Source organism: Homo sapiens, chromosome 1, assembly GCF_000001405.40.
Source record: "Homo sapiens chromosome 1, GRCh38.p14 Primary Assembly".
Classification (NCBI taxonomy): Eukaryota; Metazoa; Chordata; class Mammalia; order Primates; family Hominidae; genus Homo; species Homo sapiens.
This window is the reverse complement of record NC_000001.11, coordinates 240,527,130-240,546,967: the sequence shown is the minus strand read 5'-3', so window position 1 is coordinate 240,546,967 and position 19,838 is coordinate 240,527,130. Positions and strand designations below refer to the sequence as shown.

The 19,838-nt window shown below is 40.3% G+C and overlaps 1 protein-coding gene across 4 annotated transcripts in view; it reads left to right on the top strand.

Annotated features, from left to right (window-relative positions):
• GREM2 (gremlin 2, DAN family BMP antagonist) overlaps positions 1–19,838 on the top strand; it is a 122,583-nt gene that overhangs the window by 65,188 nt on the left and 37,557 nt on the right. For 2 of the 4 annotated variants that reach the window (XM_047427832.1, XM_047427839.1), the window contains one exon: positions 15,005–15,333. The exons of the other annotated variants lie outside the window; for them this stretch is intronic. In XM_047427832.1, the coding sequence (XP_047283788.1) occupies positions 15,281–15,333 (53 nt within the window). In that variant the 5' untranslated portion in view covers positions 15,005–15,280. The remainder of the gene's footprint in view (positions 1–15,004; positions 15,334–19,838) is intronic. 4 annotated transcript variants of the gene reach the window in all.

Sequence of the window (19,838 nt, the reverse complement as noted above, 5' to 3'; positions counted from 1 at the left end):
ACTAATCGTCTATTCTCTTCCATTGGGAATTTGCATGTGATATCCCATGTTGCTATGTATTTTTATACATGTAAGCAAACATTCTTTTTTTTTTACTAAGTGATAAGCCCTTGAAGAACGAGTTACCTCTTCGTGTTACTGACATGTAAGATGCTAGCATTTAGTAAAGTTTAATACACTTGGCTGTTTTGACAACTCTTTCAATGAGATAAAAATTTCATTTTCTCTCTCATTCCCAAAAGATACCATGGACAGTGTTAACACATTGCAGTATATTTTTAAAACTCTGAAACTGATGTACATCTTTAAAATACAGATACAATTAGTATCATTTGCAATCTTCTCTGTAGTCCATACCTCTACAGAATTTAGTTCAATCTAACAACTACGTATAGATTGCTTGTTATGTGCAAAACTCTATGTAGGAACATGGCGGAGGCAGAGATAATATGATAAAGTCTTGCCCTTGAGGAGTGATGACCTTGTAGTGACATGCCCATGTTCCCATCCTCTAGTGCTGGGTGTGAGTGTAGCACTGGGTGTGAGTGGAGTTGTAAGACATACACAAAGTGGTTAATGCAAATGAATAAGCAACAAAATTTTCTTTCTTTGTTTTTTTTTTTTTTAGACTGAGTCTCCCTTACTCTGTCAACCAGGCTGGAGTGCAGTAGCGCGATCTTGGCTCACTGCAACCTCTGCCTCCCAGGTTTAAGAGATTCTCCTGCCTCAGCCTTCCAAGGATCTGGGATTATAGGCATGTGCCACCATGCCTGGCTAATTTTTGTTGTGTCTTTTAGTAGAGATGGGGTTTCACCATGTTGGCCAGGCTGCTCTTGAACTTCTAAGCTCAAGTGATCCGCCCGCCTCAGCTTCCCAAAGTGCTGGGATTACAGGCATGCGCCACCGTGCCTGGCCAGCAACAAATTCTGCTTAGAGAAATTGGAAGAGTCTGTGGAGAAATTGGCAAGAAAATTAACCGTTGTTAATTAATCCATTCTGTATTAAACATTATTTATTCATCCTTAAAATAATAACTAATCTGCATTACTTGGTTAATTAAACAACTTAGGTTTTTTGTTTCATTTTATGCAAAGCAGGGGTGCTCCGGATGCACCAAAGGGATATAGAATCCGAAGACAAAGGAAAAAAACAACTGAAATATGCTCTTCCTCTTCGACTGTCACTCAGTTGCTCAATGTTATACTCTGACGCCAGACGTGTGGGGCTTTTCCCCACATACCAAGCAAGCAATCAGTTCTGCAGTGAGCACCAACTGGGTGTCCTTTAACTCAATTCAGTTCTGACGCTGTCTCCCTGGAGATAGCATCAGATCCCATAGGGTGAGGGGAGGGCTCAGAATCCCACAAGACGATACCCCATTTCTGATGCCAAGCATTAAGTCCTATGTTGTCTTACCTGTGCTCCTGTGCTCCTGACCCTTTAGTTACAATTTTGTACAATTTGTACAATTTGTACAATTTTAGTTACAATTAGTCAACTAATTTTGCTAGAGCAGCACACCGAACTCAGGGAAACACTTTACTTACGTTTAACTGGTTTATTCTAAAGGACATAAATGAAGAGACGTATAGGACAAGGCACGCACGAAGAGGCGTGGAGCTTCCATGCCCTCCCTGGGCACCAATCTCCAGGAAACTCCACATGTCCAACTATCCGAAAGCCCTCAGAACCCCTTTTGGGGGGTTTTGCGGAGGCTTAATTACAGAAGCATGATTGATTAAGTCGCTGGTTATTGGAGAGCAACTTAACCTTCAGCCTCTCTCCCTTTCCCAGTGGTTGGAGGATGGGGCTGAAAGTCCCAACCCTCTAATCCTGCTGTGGTCTTTCCATTGACCAGCCACCATCCTGAAGCTATCTGGGAGCCTCCAGCCATCAGACAACATCAGCAGACAAAAAGATCCTTATCATTTTGAGGAGCCCAAAGATTTTAGGAGCTGTGCCTCAGGAAACTAGGTGGAGGACCAAATATGTATTTCACAATATCACAATAACATTTGATCTTATTTTTTCTCTTTGTGAAATGAATTGGTGTAGGAAACTTTAGTTTTGAACTTTGAGAACTATATAACTTTTCACAGACTAGAGGAATGAGAAGATCCAGAGAGGCCTGATAGTTGAGTTCTTTGAAACACATATGTAGATTATACATAAAACAACATTGGCTTTGTAGATAGAGAAAGGGAACAGAGTAGTAGCAGTCAAGATACTAAAAACACATATTTTGAAACTCCAAAGATCACAAAAGAAATGAAGTGAAAGAGATGTGTGAAGAGGTGTGGACGGCTTTGAAAAGGGCTAAAAACAGAGGAATGAAATCGTTTTTCTTATAAATAGGAATCACATAGCCTTGATTGATATAAAGAGTTTTTGAAGACACAGTTGGAGCATTTTGAATACACCTGTTCCTTTGTATCCATTGGGGTTGGTTCCAGGACCTCATCTCTCAATGATACCAAAATCAGTAGATTCTCAAGTCTCTCATATAAAATGGCCTAGTACTGGCCAGGCGCGGTGGCTCACGCCTGTAATCCCAGCACTTTGGGAGGCCAAGGCGGGCAGATCATGAGGTCAGGAGATCGAGACCATCCTGGCTAACATGGTGAAACCCCGCGTCTATTAAAAATACAAAAAATTAGCCAGGCGTGGTGGCAGGTGCCTGTAGTCCCAGCTACTAAGGAGGCTGAGGCAGGAGAAAGGCGTGAACCCAGGAGGCGGAACTTACAGTGAGCCGAGATTGCGCCACTGCACTCCAGCCTGGGCGACAGAGCGAGACTGTCTCAAAAAAAAAAAAAAAAGGCCTAGTGCTTGCATATAATCTATGCACAGTCTTTCTTCTACTTTAAACCATCTCTAGATTACTTATAATAGCTAGTACAGTGTCTATACATCACTTCATTCGTGTGGATTCAAGGTAGTACTTGAGGCACAGCAAATTCAAGTTTTGATTTTTATAACTGTGGAATTTTCCTTAATATTTTTGATCTGAGGTTGGTTGAACCCATGAATGTGGAACCCACAGGTATGGAGGGTCACCCTTTAGTTCTGTGCTTGTTCCCATTGAAAAACAAATAATATACTTTTAAAATTATAATAGTCTCACATTATATAGGGCATTTCTCTTAAGATATCAAGTGTCAAAAATAGCGTTAGGCCTGTATATCAATCCCTTTTGAAATATAATTACTTAGTAATTTCTATAAAAGATCAATGTCAAGGTAGGTTTAATATAGTAAGTTGCCCTTGATGATATATTTTGTGTTTACATCAATTTTTTTAAAAGGTATGCTTTGTTCCTAAAACTAAATAGAATTTTTTGTGGGAATTGTTAGACTCCTTACCTGGTATGGTTTGGCTGTGTCCCCTCCCAAATCTCACCTTGAATTGTAATAATCCCCATGTTTCATGGGCAAGGCCAGGTGGAAATAATTGAATCACAAGGGCGGTTTCCCCCCTACTGTTATCATGGTAGTGAATAAGTCTCACCAGATCTGATGGTTTTATATATGGGAGTTCCCCTGAACAAACTCTCCTGCTTACCACCATGTAAGACGTGATTTTGCTCCTCATTTGTCTTCTGCCTTGATTGTGAGGCCTCCCCAGCCATGTGGAACTGTGAGTAAATTAAACCTCTTTTCTTTATAAATTACACAGTTTCAGGTATGTCTTTTTATTAGCAGCATGACGACAGACTAATAGATTACCTAACACATTTTACAGTGCATTTTCTCTGATTACTGTCCTAGGCCGTAGAGCAGTCTTCAGTGAAGCAAGCCTGGCCCTAGCCTTAGGTGATCCACAATCTGATGGGGGATGTAAAATAATAGTCAAATAATCATGACAGAGTGATCGAGGAAATGCTTTTGAAACCTCAGAAGGAGAGCAGCCTAGGACATTTTGGGAGGCTTCCCAGAGGAATTGATATTTTAGTGGGATCTTGACAATGGGTCGGAAGGAAAGTAAGAGGCTTCACAAAGAAGGTGATATTTTTTGGTGGGATCTTACAGAACTTCTAAGAGTGGAGAGAGCTCTTTCTTTCTCAGAGAGGATCAATAATTTTCCAAGAATCTTCAGTGTACTAGGAGGCTTTAATATATCTTGCAAGATAAAAACCTGCCAAGCACAAAACATTACAGTATCTTTGTCTCAAATCAGAAGCATAGCAAAGTTTTATTGCAGATAAGCTTGATTCATAATCTTCTTATGCCAAACCATCAGATAATTCAAATTCTGTCAAAACTGAGTGAAAAAAAAATCCAAAGTGTGATCAAGCCTTCTGAGAAAAATATATCAGCTCTTTAGAAATTTTTATTTATTTATTTATTTATTTATTTTTGAGATGGAGTCTCGCTCTGTCACTAGGCTGGAGTGCAGGGGCACAATCTTGGCTCACTGCAACCTCCGCCTCCTGGGTTCAAGCGATTCTCCTGCCTCAGCCTCCCGAGTAGCTGGGACTACAGGTGCGCACCACCACACCCAGCTAATTTTTTTTTTTTTTTTTTTTTTAGTAGAGATGGGGGTTTCGCCATGTTGGCCAGGCTGGTCTCGAACTCCTGGCCGCAAGTGATCTGCCCACCTCGGCCTCCCAAAGTACTGGGATTAGACGTGAGCCGTGAGCCACCGTGCCCGGCTCAGCTCCTTAGAAATTAAAATGCTGAATCAATTACTGTGGATTTGTTAGAGATACCTCTGAATTCCACAGGTCTGGAGAGATGTGATCAGGTAGCACATCTAATCTATGGTTTCTCAATATTGATGCTGTTGACAAGGGACAGGATGGTGTTTTGTCGTGGAGGACTGTCTTGTGCATTGCAGGATGTTCGGCATCCTCCTTGGCCTCGACCTTCTAGATTTCAGTAGCAGCCGTCATAGTGGTGATGACCAAAAATGCCTCCACACATTGACAAATGTCCCCTGAGGGGCAAAATCACAACCAGTTTAAAACCATTAATGTCATCAATATATCATTTCCTCTCCCAGAAATGGAGTACAGAGTAGAGACGTGGAGATAGGAGTGATAAAGACAGTGATGGCATTGCTCGCAGCCAACTGTGCACTGCCATTCTGGATTCTCTGCACTCAGCCTAGGACCAGTGACACAAACTGGCCCTTTATGACTTTTGCCTGAGTGGTTCCCTCAGATTTAGAAACAGAAATCCAAGCCACTTGCTTGTCTTGCTGGAAAGAATACATTGCATCAGTTCTTCAATTTATAACCAGTTTGAGAATTCATCAGTATACTTACTTCAAAAAAAAAATTCTTACCATGTGCAATGTGTAAACATGAAAAAAAAAATCCAAGGGAAATAAAACCCATGAAATTTTTGGCCCACTGAGAGTTAACGCAACCAAACAGAAAAGTTGATCCATCAAGGGAAACATAATTGACACAAAAGACAGCAGTAAAATGAAACCCATCATCACATTCTAGGAAATCAATCAGTCTTTGAACATGGCAAGTACAGGAGAAAATGTAACGTAGTTAACAGAAGAGAAGTGGGAAGTGAGTTAGTCAGCAGGCACTGGAGAATTTGGCTAAAGAGAATGTCCTGCAAGCAAAGGACTCTTGGCCCTTTTTCTAGGGCCCCTGGCCAGTCCCATTGTTCCCAAGGCTTTGGCATGTTGAACTGAAGGGCAGCTCCAGCCCAGGATGGACCAGCCTTGCCCAGTGGTCTTTCAATCCACTGGGTCAATCCATGGACCCTGTGGGGCTCCTCTCCCTAGTTCTGAGGCCATGCAATCTGGAAGCATCAACCTTCATTTCGACTCAGACTTTTAAGAACGGTGAAAAGGCAACCTGCAGTTATTCATACGGATCCCACCCTTTTATCCCAGGGAAGTTTCAAAAGGGTTTATGGCCAAGATATTAAATTTCTCTTTGTATTCACCATTGGTGTGAGCCAAAGAGAAGGCAGGGTATTCCACAGGGTATTCCAGATTCTTTCAATCTGGAAAGCCAAACTAGGAAGGTGCCACAAAAGCAGAACAAACACAGGAGACTTCTGGTCCAGAATGCTGGAAGGCGACAAACTGATTGATGAGTGCCATCTCTCTCCTTAGTAACTGTCTTCTTTTAAGAAGTATTATGCGGCCTGGCGTGGTGGCTCACACCTGTAATCCCAGCACTTTGGGAGGCCGAGGCAGGCAGATCACGAGGTCAGTAGATCAAGACCACCCTGGTCAACATGGTGAAACCCTGTCTCTACTAAAAATACAAAAATTAGCTGGGCGTGGTGATGCATGCCTGTAGTCCCAGCTACTCAGGAGGCTGAGGCAGGAGAATCTCTTGAACCCAGGAGGCAGAGGTTGCTGTAAGTCTACATCGTGCCACTGCACTCCAAACTGGCGACAGAGTGAGACTCCATCTCAAAAAAAAAAAAAAGAAGTACCATTCTTCTTTTGACTTACATGCTGTTTGTGTTCTTTGCTGTTAATGGTAGTGATTCCAGTCTTACTAGAACACAATCTCTCAGTTCAGTTTTAAATCAATATGTGCTCTAGGAAACAGCCCATTCAAGGACAAATCCCCTGATCCTGTTTTGTTTGTTTTCTTGGTCCTAGCCATGTTTTTCTCCCTTCTTCACTTGGCAGCAATTGAAGGACTCACGATGTTCCTTTATGCCCCCTTTTGGAGAAGGAGCTCTTCAATGCAATAAGTTAGTCTAGACAAAGAAAATTAGGGCAATTAGTAGAAAGCTAGCAAATGTGCTGTGTAGGAGGCTCTGTCATTACGGACCCTCACTCAGGCTCCTGTGGTTTGGTGTGTGTACAGAATGATAGTTCTGGGTTTCCTCTCTGCAGAGAGGAATAAAATAATACTAGGTTTCAATTAAAGACATAACTGCAATTTAGTCAGGGGTATAGGAACAGAGTGGCTGTCAGCTATGCCAAGCTAATGTCATAAGACAGAAAATCTCAGCACATAGCAAGGGATCCTGAGGCATCTGAGTTACCGCAGCCCTCATACTCAATAAGACACCAAGACTAGCAATTAGAATGCAGACAGAACAAATATTTACATTTTGAGAAAACAAAAGAGGAGGCATCAACAACAGAATGAATCAAAAGCCACAAGGTCTCAGATGTGGGCAAGCAAAGTGTTGCTGTCAGTGTGAAGCAGGAAGGCAGAATTGGTTTCCAGTATTTGCAATTCAGAGATGTAGATTACTGGAAAATTTACAATAACATTGCAGTTTAAAATCTCCACTTCATCCGTGTTACCCAGAGTTGAACATGAGGAGTCAATTGCCCTTTTCCTCCTTCTACCTACTATTAGCTCCAAGTCATTTCTTCATGTGTATATGGATTATGAGTTCCAGAGAGCCTGGATACGTTATTTCGAGGCTTTCAAAGTCCCAGAAATGCTTATGCATTTTAAAAACTGTATTTCAACTCAGAAATCTCTTTTGTTAAGAAGCCTGATGTTCTGAATGATCAGAGGGTATAGTAAAATCTAATAACAGAAGAAAAATTAGGGCTCTGGGAAGGGGCTGTCCAGGAAGGGAAAGAGATGTGTGGCTCCCCTCTCATCTCAAAGTAGTAGGTACACATTTTCCTCTTTTGTTTAATTTTAGATGGGTCACTCATGCAAGCTCATGGAGTGGATCCTGAGTAGGGGATAAAATCCTGGCTGGTTGGGCACATCATAGCAAAGAGACTTGTCACCACCAGGAAGACCACAAGCCAGCCATTATAACTGCAGCGAGGCAGGGTTTTGACCAATTTGGCATGTGTAGGGCTTTTATAAGAAATCCATAAGGGATGGTAAGTAAGAATGGAATGATGGGGGCCTGGCTAGTGAGGAAAAGTTGCTCAGTGCACAAGGCTTGGCTTTAACATGGCAAATGATGCTGACTTTCCCCTTCCTAATGTCTCTAATTCTGAAATTCTATAAGCATGAGATGGTGTCTCAGCCCTTTTTGATCTACATCAACCCATGGTGGATGTCTGCCATGTACTTGGCATCAGTACTTGGGAAAATGACTTGGCTGCCAATTATCTGATGCTGTTATTTCATTTCTAAAATGCAATATCTAGAAATTGTTCATTTGAGAGACATTTCAAAGCATTTGTAGCCAATGTGCCAAGTTTCTGATTCATTTTGGGAGAGACACCCACACGTAGTATTTCACTCAATTTAATATTTTGTAAATAATTGGTATTAGTCGAGTACATACAGTTTACCAAACATGGTTCTAAAAAGTTTTTTGTTGTTTGTTTGTTTGTTTTTGACAGTATCTGGCTATGTCGCCCAGGCTGGAGGGTAGTGAGTGGCACGATCTTGGCTCACTGCAACCTCCGCCTCCTGAACTCAAGTGATCCTCCCACCTCAGTCTCCCAAGTCGCTGGGACTATAGGCACACACCACCATGCCTGGTTAATTTTTGTATTATTATTATTATTTTTTTTTGGAGAGACAAAGGTCTCACTATGTTGCCCAGGCTGGTCTCAAACTCCTGAGCTCAAGTGATTCACCCACCTCCACTTGCCAAAGTGCTGGGATTACAGGCGTGAGCCATCGCACCTGGCCTCTAGAAAGTCTTTACATGTCTTTAATACAAATGCAGGCAGGTGAAATCACTGGATGATTCCATGGTGTTTTAAACCTTTTCCCAGGTTACTGAAAGGGTTGGCATTGTTAGAGAAGCAATCAATCACGAAGGAGCTAAGAAGAAAGTTTAAAAAGGGTAAAAAGTGTGAGTCAAGACAAAGCCACCAGTCATAGCATTTGAGGGGTGCATCTAACCTGAACTCCTGAACGTTTTAGGTTAGCTTATAGATAATAAGAGTAACTAAATTTAAGATCAGCGTGGTCAAGAAATTTTGCTTTCTAGACAATCCTACTTTGACTTGTTCCTCTATTTATTGACTGTCATTACTTTGAATTCTATTGTTTCAAACATGAAATTTAACGAGCTTCAGTGTTTCTTTAGTTTTAATAAAGCAAAACTCGGGTTTTTTAAATGGGCATGGCATTCTGCCAATCATTTTCAGGGTTCAAGATCTGAAGCAAGGTTCTACAGGACATTATGAAAGTTATTGTTTAAATAATGGATATTTTGCATGGTATGTATGATTAATATATTATATTTGTATAAAAGAGTAATATACCTTCACTTTTTGCAGGGCTTACTCAGTGTTTTTGTTTGTTTGTTTGTTTGTTTTTGAGACAGAGCCTTGCCATATTGCCAGGCTGGAGTGCAGTGGCGCCATCTCGGCTCACTGCAACCTCCGCCTCCTGGATTCAAGTGATTCTCCTGCCTCAGCCTCCCGAGTAGCTGGGATTACAGGCACGCGCCACCATGCTCGGCTAACTTTTGTATTTTTAGTAGACATGGGGTTTCACCATGTTGGCCAGGATGGTCTTGATCTCTTGACCTCAGGTGATCCACCCACCTCGGCCTCCCAAAGTGCTGGGATTACAGCCACCGTGCCCGGCCTGAACTCCTTTTGTTGTTTCTTTAGGCATCAACTCCTTTCCCCCTCTTTTTTTGTCAGTGCTGTTTTTTGCATCTACTACACTTCTTAAGTGTCCATCTCTGTGTTCTCTGGGTAGACAACTTCAGAGAACAGAGAGGCTACCAGGCAGGAATTCCTTGCTCCTTAAAACTCATCTCCCTCCACAACTAACTATATTTTTCTCTTTATTTTCTATCTCAAAGAAAGATAACTAATTTTGTCCAGCATTTTCTTTCCTTCCTCTACTTTTACATTTCCCCTATATTTTGCTTTTGTTTATTTAGTTATTTGTTTGCTCACAGTGTTTAAATATATTCAAATAGCTTCCATTTCAAGTTTAAAATTTTTAAAGGTAAAGGAAGGGAGGCAAGGAGGCTACAGGTCTATTCTGGCTTCTGGGGAAAAAAATCTGTATTTAATTTATCTTACTACAGCACAACTAAAAGTGCTTTCACTAATGTATCTAAGTCTTAGGAATTAATTGGTCATTCCAGTTTATCTTCTTTAGTATGTCAGCATCTCACTTTGGTCAGAATTTAGTTGCTTAGTATTCTTGCTTTGCTTGGATTCTGTGGTACTCCTCCTTCCAAACCTCCCTGTCTTCTTTGAAGGTTTGTTATCTTCTGTTCAGCCCAAATAGCAGTTTTCTTCAAGATCCAACATTTGCCTCTTTTAAATCTCACATTATGCATCAGAGACCTTATCCCCATGCACGTAGCTACCGATGGCTTCCAGATCTACAGCCCCCACTGCCATTTTGTCTTAAACTCTACAGATGGCTTCCAGATCTACAGCCCCCGCTGCCATTTTGTCTTAAACTCTACAGATGGCTTCCAGATCTACAGCCCCCGCTGCCATTTTGTCTTAAACTCTACAGATGGCTTCCAGATCTACAGCCCCCGCTGCCATTTTGTCTTAAACTCCTGACCCATATTTTTCACATGTCATGTTTCCCCATCCGAGGAACAATTACCAATCCCCCTCTTGGACTGAGAAAATCAAATTGCCCAGGTATGAATAGCAACTGCTTATCCCTCTTCATACCAATTTACCCTTCCATCCCTGCACATTTTCTTTAGGGTTAGAGACAAATTAACCATTGGCCAATTCAAGGTCACTGCATCCCCCTGTGTGCTTGGCTGCATGACCCTTTCTTCCCATTTAATTATCAGACCTTACTTCAGGATTTGTTATATTCCCTTACTCATATGTTTTAAACCTCACACTTTCAGCTATGTGTTCGTCCTTAGCTTTAAAAATATATTTAAATATATCCCATCCAAATAAGTAAGTGAATGAATAATACATTATCTCCATTGGAGCTGCCTTCCTTCTAACTGCCATAATTGAGGGCTTTTTTTCTTAATCAAATTTCTTGAAATTGAAGGTACTGTGGTTCCAGTTCCTCTTGTCTTACCAGTCTTCAGCTCCTTGCAAGTTGGCTTCTGTGACACCTGCTCCAGTGAAACCTGCTTGCAGTCAGGTCCTACGTGTTCCCAAACTCAGAGGGCTCACTTCAGTCTTTATCTTACTCCACTTGACTCAGCTGACACTGGCTCATTCCCTACTTCTTGGGATCGTCTTTCTGTTGGTTTTCATGGGAGACTTGACTAGGCTTGTCTTTCTCTCTTTTTACTCAGGGTATCTGGTATAAATATTTCTTTCTCTTTTTTCTTTCTTTTTTTTTTTTTTGCGATGGAGTCTCCCTTTATCATCTAGGCTGGAGTGCAATGGCACAATCTCGGCTCACTGCAACCTCCACCTCCCAGGTTCAAGCAATTCTCCTGCCTCAGCCTCCTGAGTAACTGGGATTACAGGCATGCACCGTGACACCTGGCTAATTCTTGTATTTTTAGTAGAGACAGGGTTTCACCAGTTGGCCAGGTTGGTCTCAAACTCCTGACCTCAAGTGATCCCCCTGCCTCGGCCTCCCAAAATGTGGGGATTACAGGCATGAGCCACTGTGCCTGGCCAATATTTCTTTCTCACATTCGTCCTTTAAACATTGGTTTACCAAGGATGTCATTCTTGGCTTTTTAAAATTTTTTTTCACAATCTCTCCTTTGTACTATCTTTCTTCTTTACAAACTCAAAGAAATGTTGTAGTTAAAAAACAAAAACAAACACAAAACTGGTTTTGAGAACCTGAACAAAGCTCAGCTCTCCACTCACTTTTACTAACAACACAACTATGGATAAGTTGCATAATCTCTTTAAGTATTAGTTATCACCTCTGTAAAGGGAAGTGTTCATATCAACTCAGATTGTTATCGTGGGTATAATGGATATAACATACACAGTAATGTAAAGTATTACTCAATGCCTATACTAAGTGCTCACAACTATAATTTTATTATTATTGTCTTTATAATTATATTTAACTAATAGCTCTATGTTATAGACTCAAATCTATCATCTTACACAGAGTCCTCTCTTGGAGTTCAGATTTATATAATAACTACTAGATGTCTCTACTCAGATATACCTCAATGATCAACATACAGAAACAGACAGATCATCTCTCCCTTCCTCTCCAGACCCACTCGTCCTGCTGTGTTTCTTCCCTCAGTTGGTAGCTAAGTATCTGGCGTCACCAAATTTTCGAAACCCAAAGGTTCTAGCTTCCTCAACATGTTTCTGTCCCTTCTTCCCGCCCATACACCAATGCCTTGTTCAGGCCCTCACTTTTTCCTACCAGGGTGATTGCAGTAGCCTCCTAACTAGTCTCCTGCATTTTAGCTTTTCCTCATTTCAGTTCATCTTCCATAGTATTGCATTTTTTTTTTTTTTTTTTTTTTGAGATGGAGTCTCGCTCTGTCGCCCAGGCTGGAGTGCAGTGGCAAGATCTCAGCTCACTGCAAGCTCCACTTCCTGGGTTCAAGTGATTCTCCTGCCTCAGCCTCCCGGAGTAGCTGGGACTACAGGCGCCCGCCACCATGCCCAGCTAATTTTTTTTTGTATTTTTAGTAGAGACAGGGTTTCACCGTGTTAGCCAGGATGGTCTCAATCTCCTGACCTCGTGATCTGCCCGCCTCAGCCTCCCAAAGTGCTGGGATTACAGGCGTGAGCCACTGCACCCGGCCTTTTGCACTCTCTTAACTGCAGATGTGATGTCTCTCTTAGAGCAGAACCCTTTCAGGGTTCCTCATAATTGACATAAAATCCAATCTATTGAGTAGCACATATGTAGATTTCTCCATGACCTTGTCCCTGCCTTCCCTTTTATGTTTCAGTGAAAACTGATTGTTTTTCTCACATTTTGTATGCTCTATTTTTTTGCTCATGCTGTCCTCCTCCCTGAGATGCCTCACACCTCTCTTCCTGAATTGTCCATCATCTGCACTTTCTTCAAGATCTTTCTCAGGTTTGTCCCTGCTTCCTTATTCAACACCATAAGGTTAAGCTAATTTCAATTTCAGGACTAGCCCATTCATAACTATTTTGGTGCATTTTCCACGTTTGATTCAAGTTATCTGTTTGCAACTCTGCCTTTCCAACAAATACATATCAACCAAAAGTAGCACCAGGTCTTACCTTACATATTTAATAGTAGTAACATTTTTCCATGTGAACTAAACGTCACAGGCAACTCAAAAATGACATGCTCCTGATGGAATTGAGGCTCTCGTCACAATCGTCCCCTCTTTCTGTAGACTAGTTTCCCAATAATGGAAGCAGTCACCATCCATTCTATCAGCCAAATCAGAAACCCTGGAGGCACAGCCAATGGTATCTCAATATCTGTTCAACCACCAAAATCCTTTCTGTCTTGCCCACCCATCCTCCAAATATCTCTCAGATCCAACTGCTCCTCTATCCCAATTGTTGATTCTTTCTTTGACTTTGTGGGAGGCTGTGTGTACTGCTAGATGCCAATCACTTTGTCCTACTTCTACACAGAGCCACCTACTCCCCTTGTCCCAGTTGTGCCTCCTCAGTGCTTCTGATGGGACTTTCTTATTACATAAATATATTATGCTTAAAATTCTCAAAGGACTCCCTCGTTTCTTCAGGATAGAGTTCTATAACATTAGCATGAGATACCAAGGGCTTCTCAACTGTAGAGTTTTCCAGATTCAGCTCCAAGTATTTATCATGCCTTGTGTGCTTTAGCTACAGAGACCTACTTTCAATTCTCAGAACATGCAATGCCCTCACAGACCGCTAAACTGATCTGTTCTCTTTGGCTAGAATGCCTTTCCTTTTCCCAACCTTTTCACAGCTAGCTCATTTCTATTAGTTCTTTAAGGGCCAATTCAGATATTCCTCCACTTTTCATTATTCTCATAGGAAGTGATTTTCATTTTCCCAGTCTCTACTCCCAGATCCCCCTTCTTCACACCTCAGGCATACCTGTCTCATACATCTCATAATGCTGACTACATTGTGTTCCTTTTCCTGTCCAACTCCTCTACAAAATGCTGAGTTCTTTGTGGGTAGTTTCTGTATCATAGTCCCCTCTGTATCGCAATATCAATTACAGTACCTGCTGTACATGAGGACTTGCTTGTTACGGGTTGAATGAATAATGAATATAAATAAAGCTCAGAAAACTTAAATGACTTGAAGAGTATGAAGAGTGTGAAGCAAAACAGTGTACACTTCAAAGCAGAATGCTATAGCCAGTAAAGTGCCCAGGTTCTGTGCATGACTTTGGGAAATAAACTGGGTTTGACTCCTATCTTGGCTATTTACTAATTAACTATATTTAGATAGAGACTTAACTTCTCTAAGTATTTCTTCTCTATGAAATGGTGATGGTGATGATGATGATGATTCTTACCTGAGGTGGTTCTTGCCATATATCTATCTATCTATCTATCTATCTATCTATCTATCTATCTATCTATATATATCTCTTATATAAAGTGGTTATTCCAGTACTTGACATAAGATTGGCCCTCAGTAAATGTCACTTCTATTTCTTCCTTAAATCTGGCAGATTGCTTTAAATTGTACTTTTTATATTGATTAGTCTTTTAGTTAGAAATGATTGCAAGAGTGAAAACCAATTGCATAACTTTGGTTAACTTTGGGAAATTGTCATCAAGTTAGAGACTCATAGATTTATAGAGATGGAAGGGACAATTAAGATAATTTAGTTCAAGGCCGGGCACTCTGGCTCACACCTGTAATCCCAGCACTTTGGGAGGCCGAGGCAGGTGGATCATCTGAGGTCAGGAGTTCAAGACCAGCCTGGCGAACATGGTGAAACCCTGTCTCTACTAAAAATACAAAAATTAGCTGGGCATGGTGGCGTGCACCTATAATCCCAGCTATTCGGGAGACTGAGGCAGGAGAATCACTTGAACCTGGGAGGCGGAGGTTGCAGTGAGCCGAGATCGTGCCACTGCACTCTAGCCTGCAGCCTGGGAGACAAGAGCGAGACTCTGTCTAAAATAATAATAATAATAATAATAATTTAGTTCCAAATCCTCACTTTTTATATAGGGAAATCATGGTCTTAAAAGATTAAGTTCTAGGTCAAAGAGCTTGTTAGAGGCTAATTGTTTCTTGTCTTGGACAGGAAACAAAGTGTCTACCAATGGCTATCGTTTCCAATTGTTTGGATTGAAGAAACTCACATGACAATTATATTTCAAGAGAAATGAGAGCTAGCTGGGCACGGTGGCGGGCGCCTGTAATCCCAGCTACTCAGGAGGCTGAGGCAGGAGAATCGCTTGAACACAGGAGGCGGAGGTTGCAGTGAGCCGAGATCACGCCATTGCTCTCCAGTCTGGGCAACAAGAGCAAAACTGTCTCAAAAAAAAAAAAAGAAGAAGAAAAAGAAAAGAAAAGAAAAATGAGAGCACTCAGAGCTGAGTCCACGTCAGGGAGCAGGCAGACGCCTTGCAGGTAATGGGCAGAGCAGTGGCCTCGCCACATAACCACACACCAACTCCACTATTCTGTTCCCTAATTTCCTTTGTTTGGGAAGCTTTTCTTTTCCAATGAAAAGAAGAAGCACTCAGTGGAAAATTCTGAAATACTATTACATACAAATCTGATTAAAATTGCAGCAACTGTAAACCTTAACTTGAGACGGACGCATTTCCCAGGCTGACATGCAGCTCTGATCATGTTTAATTTCAACGTTTCTGTCTAGCTTGTACTGTGCTGCTTTTCCTCTATTAAGTAATCTTCCAGAAAAATTTAAAGTTGTAATAATATCACCAATTTGTTTGAGGTACTCCAGCGGGTTAGAAAGAAAATCCATATAAATAGAGATGAACACAATGGAGAGAGCATGAAATAAAAGTATCAGTCTGTGCCAGAAAGTGGGGAAAAAGCTATATGGCTGAGACTATTTCTTCCTCTTATGGGAATCCAAGTGGGATCTTCTATATGAGTCTTCCTTGGTTAAGGGAGTTTTCTAATTCCATGAGTATTTTGGCAATAAGTTCAATTATCCCAATTATTTGTGACCAAATCTGATTGAAGATTTAACAGAATAAAAGAAAGCCTTTAATAACACAGGCTTCTAAATGTCTGTCATCATTTGAAATTTCATAGGATGGTTTACTCCTGCTCTGTAATTTCTTTAAAACTGCAAAAGTTAGCTCAAGAAAGCATTGTGATTTTCCATTCATTTCCTTCGTTTTTTACTATCTTTCACAAGCATTTGATTGCTAGACAAAGTGAATGATTCTCTCAAACTGTGAGGCCCTATTTTTGTCCTTTAGATTCAAGGAAAAATACAACCGAAGGAATAGCGTTTGGCTTGGAGTTCTTCATACGTGGCTAGCATAGAAAGAATCTCAGGACTTTTTGGTGGTTTATCATTGCATCGCCTTATGGACCATTGATCTTTTTATTTTCTAAAAGAATGGTTTCATTTGCGATGGTCCTAGTTTAGAGTGGTTAGTGATGATAACTATTATTTATAACTCTATGTAATTCCTTTGAATTGTATATTTTATGCACAACAATTTTAAGATACCTTTCTTTTCATGGAAGCCACATGTGATCCTTTTGATCCTTACACTAGTAAACAGAGTCATATATTTTAGAGAGGAATGTTGAGAGCTAGGTGTGTAGAAAGTATCTGGAGAATAGCTTGGTTTTTTGTGTGCGAACCAGAAATGATGAGAGAATTTAAAGCAGTAAAGGCTTTTAGAAATCAGCTTGTCTGGCAGGTTCCAAAATATGTCCCTTGCTTGTAATGCTAGTCCAGTGAGATACTTCTCCACAGTTTCCATTGTCTGAGAATTCAGGAAATCTGCACATTATAACTCTCTTTTAGAGACTCACATATCACATTAGTCACATTTAAGTCTTCCAGAAAAGGGGCTTCTGTGGCTCTTTTTAACCCTGGTTGACTTAATTCATATGGTTATAGAACTCCTTATTGTTCCACGAAACTAGCATTTAGAGACTGATGTTTTAGGGAATGTTGAGGTACTACCTTTTCTTGAAAAACCGGGTGCCCAATGAGGTTGTCAAATGGTCAATGAGTATCTGAGACTAGAACCCTAGTCTTCTGACTTCAAGTCCAATATTTCCTACATAGAGCTGAAATGTTAACCAGAATTTCAGGATAACCGGTGTCCCAAGAATATCTTTTCAAAGTCCTCAAGTGGTGAAAGTAAGGGCTGCCTCTGTGTTTGCTTATTAAATAAGTCATTCTTATTCAAGCAGCAATGATAAATGTCAATGTCCTAGACTATATGAAATAAACCTGGGAATCTAAAGGGATTAAGGATACGCAGACATTGCTTGGGAGTGTAATAGCAAAGCATCTTCTCTCAGAAAATTTAGGGCAACTTATAGCACTAATATGCTCACCCCATTACCATTTTTTTAAAAAAAATCATTAAAAATGTATTTATAGGACTTTCTGATAATCTTGGAATTTCATGATTAAGAGGGTTCTGAGCAAACTTAAGTTGTTTCTGTTCTTTTTTTTTATTCATCTGACATATCTCTTTACTTGTCATATTGTATAACAGATACGTCAGATATGTATTTATATTAGCTTGCTGGAAGGTAGATGCCCACATAGGTTATTCTTCTGGGAAGTCATTTCACAATAAGATGGTTCTTTAGCTGGGGTCATGAGAATGACAACATGGGAAGACCGAGATTTTGTTAAATGAGCTGTTATCCTCTATGTTCATTCAAATGGTTCCAACTTTCCATTCCCTGTTGTCATTTCCTAAATTCTTTGATGCAAATATACAATCACCAGTTTAACAAACTTTATAAGAAAAAAAAAACATAATCATAGGCAGCTAAAAAAAAAAAAAAAAAAGCCTATCCACTGGTTCAAATGAGTCAATCAAGAAGGCACAAGATGGATTTTAATGACATCATTGGGTCCAAACTTCCTGAGAGCTCATCCATGTGTCTTCCCAGCCTCACCAGGAAATCCTGCAGGAAAATTCCTTCCCAAGCCCTTTATAGACCTACTGAATGAAGGCTAGAAGGTTCGTGTGAGCATCAGAAATGGTCAGATAATAAAGCAAATACAATCCAAACAGTTTTGATCGTGTTCCACCTTAGGGCGACTCTGGCTGCTGAACACAGGGACTCATCAAGTGCTCCTTTCAAGAAAGCCCTGAGAGCCCTTTCTCGGGGATGTAGGAGACAGAGATGGAAAACCACTCAGGTTAAGCGAGTCTCCTTGATGTGGCTTTGGCAAAGCTGGATGCTAAATCTGAAGCTCTACTCGGATATAAAGGACTGTTCTAAGGCTAGAAAGTCATAAAACCCCAGCAGGCAGGCTGTTCATCATTTCCCTGGCAAGGCCTTGGTACGGCTGCAACTGAGAAGCCAGAGTGCTTGGACCTGCACTGGAGGGGCCGGTGAGAAACATTTTCAAGTGCAGATTCGTCTCAGCCACTCACCGAGCACAGTGAGAATGGGCATGGTACTAATTACTTAGGTAATTACATAATTCGATTGCAGTTGTTTTGTGGCTTATGGGTTTATCCACAGAAAACAGTACCTACCATTCCTAAAATACATATACATTTTTTTCAACCCAGATACAACTTTCTCCTTGTGGCCAATAATGTTTCTAAAATATTAGGGTTTGGAGACAGGTGAATAATGAGTGACTGGCTGGTGAGAATCACGGCCATTTGGGGTTTCAAATGGACTAATGTAATAAACATTATTGAGCCTCTGCTTCATGAAATTCACATAGTAAAATCCAAACCCAGAAATGTCAAAGTCCCTTGAACTTGTCTCTGAGGCATAGTAAAAAACGAAAAGTCAAAGTCCCATAAGAAATTTCATTATTTAAAAGGCAACTGTATCTCTCAGAGTAAAATTTGATACTCAAATAGATATTTAAATGGAGCTCAAACTTCTGTGACCCTCTGTCTTTTCAAATATAACAGAGGAATAAGAAGTTTACTATTCTTTATTGTGAGAGTTAAATGAGAGAATGTGTGTCAAGATGTCAGCACAGTGCCGGGCACATAGCTTAGCTTTGAGGATTATCTATTATAAGTATTGTGTTTTTTAACCCAAATTTTCTGTATCTCTGAAAATTATTATCTGGATTTTCTATTTAATCCTTTTTTATTTTCTTTCTATAATTTCATTTTCCTCTGGTGTTAAAAAACCAGGACACAACCATGAGGCCATTACATTTTTTATTTGTTTGTTTTGTAATTTTACATACTGCGTGGTGGAATAAACAAAGATAGAAATACGACACTTGGATTTGAGTTTTGTATTCACCATGGCTGTTTGACCTTAGACAAGTAATTAGAGACTTTGTGTGCTTATATACGAAGTAGGGATAACAGTACCACATTTGTGTACTGTGGTAGAGATTAGAGATCATGAACATTATAGTTTAGCTGTGTAATACACATTGAATAAATGAGAATTTGTTTCAGCTAAATTCTTTCTTCCTTCTTCCTTTTCTGTCTCACCTACGTACCTCCCTTGTCCCTCTCCTTCCTCAGACCTCTTATAAACACACTAACACATACATTCAAAATGTTTTCTCCTGTCAGCAGAGAAGCAGATTATAAAATGTTTTTATTTTCTTCCTGTCCTCTTTGATTGTCCTTAAACAAGGTATTTTTGTAAAATCTGAGTACACACTAAGAAGTTGGTTCAAAAGCAAAGACACTAAAATTAATACTAATCTACTTTAATGATAGAAAATTGCCCTAATTATCTTTATGCAGTATTATTTTAAAGACTCCCAGTGAGTCCTATAAATAGTTTCAAGTTACAAATACAGAGTGATACATGATGATCAACAACTGTGCATCTTGTAAAATCTATCAAGATTAAATTTCCTTTCTTTAATAAGAATTAATGGCATTTTATATCTGGGCTGCTGAGATAAGTAGAAAACATACCACCAGATCTAGAAAAGGATTAATCAACATGTCAGG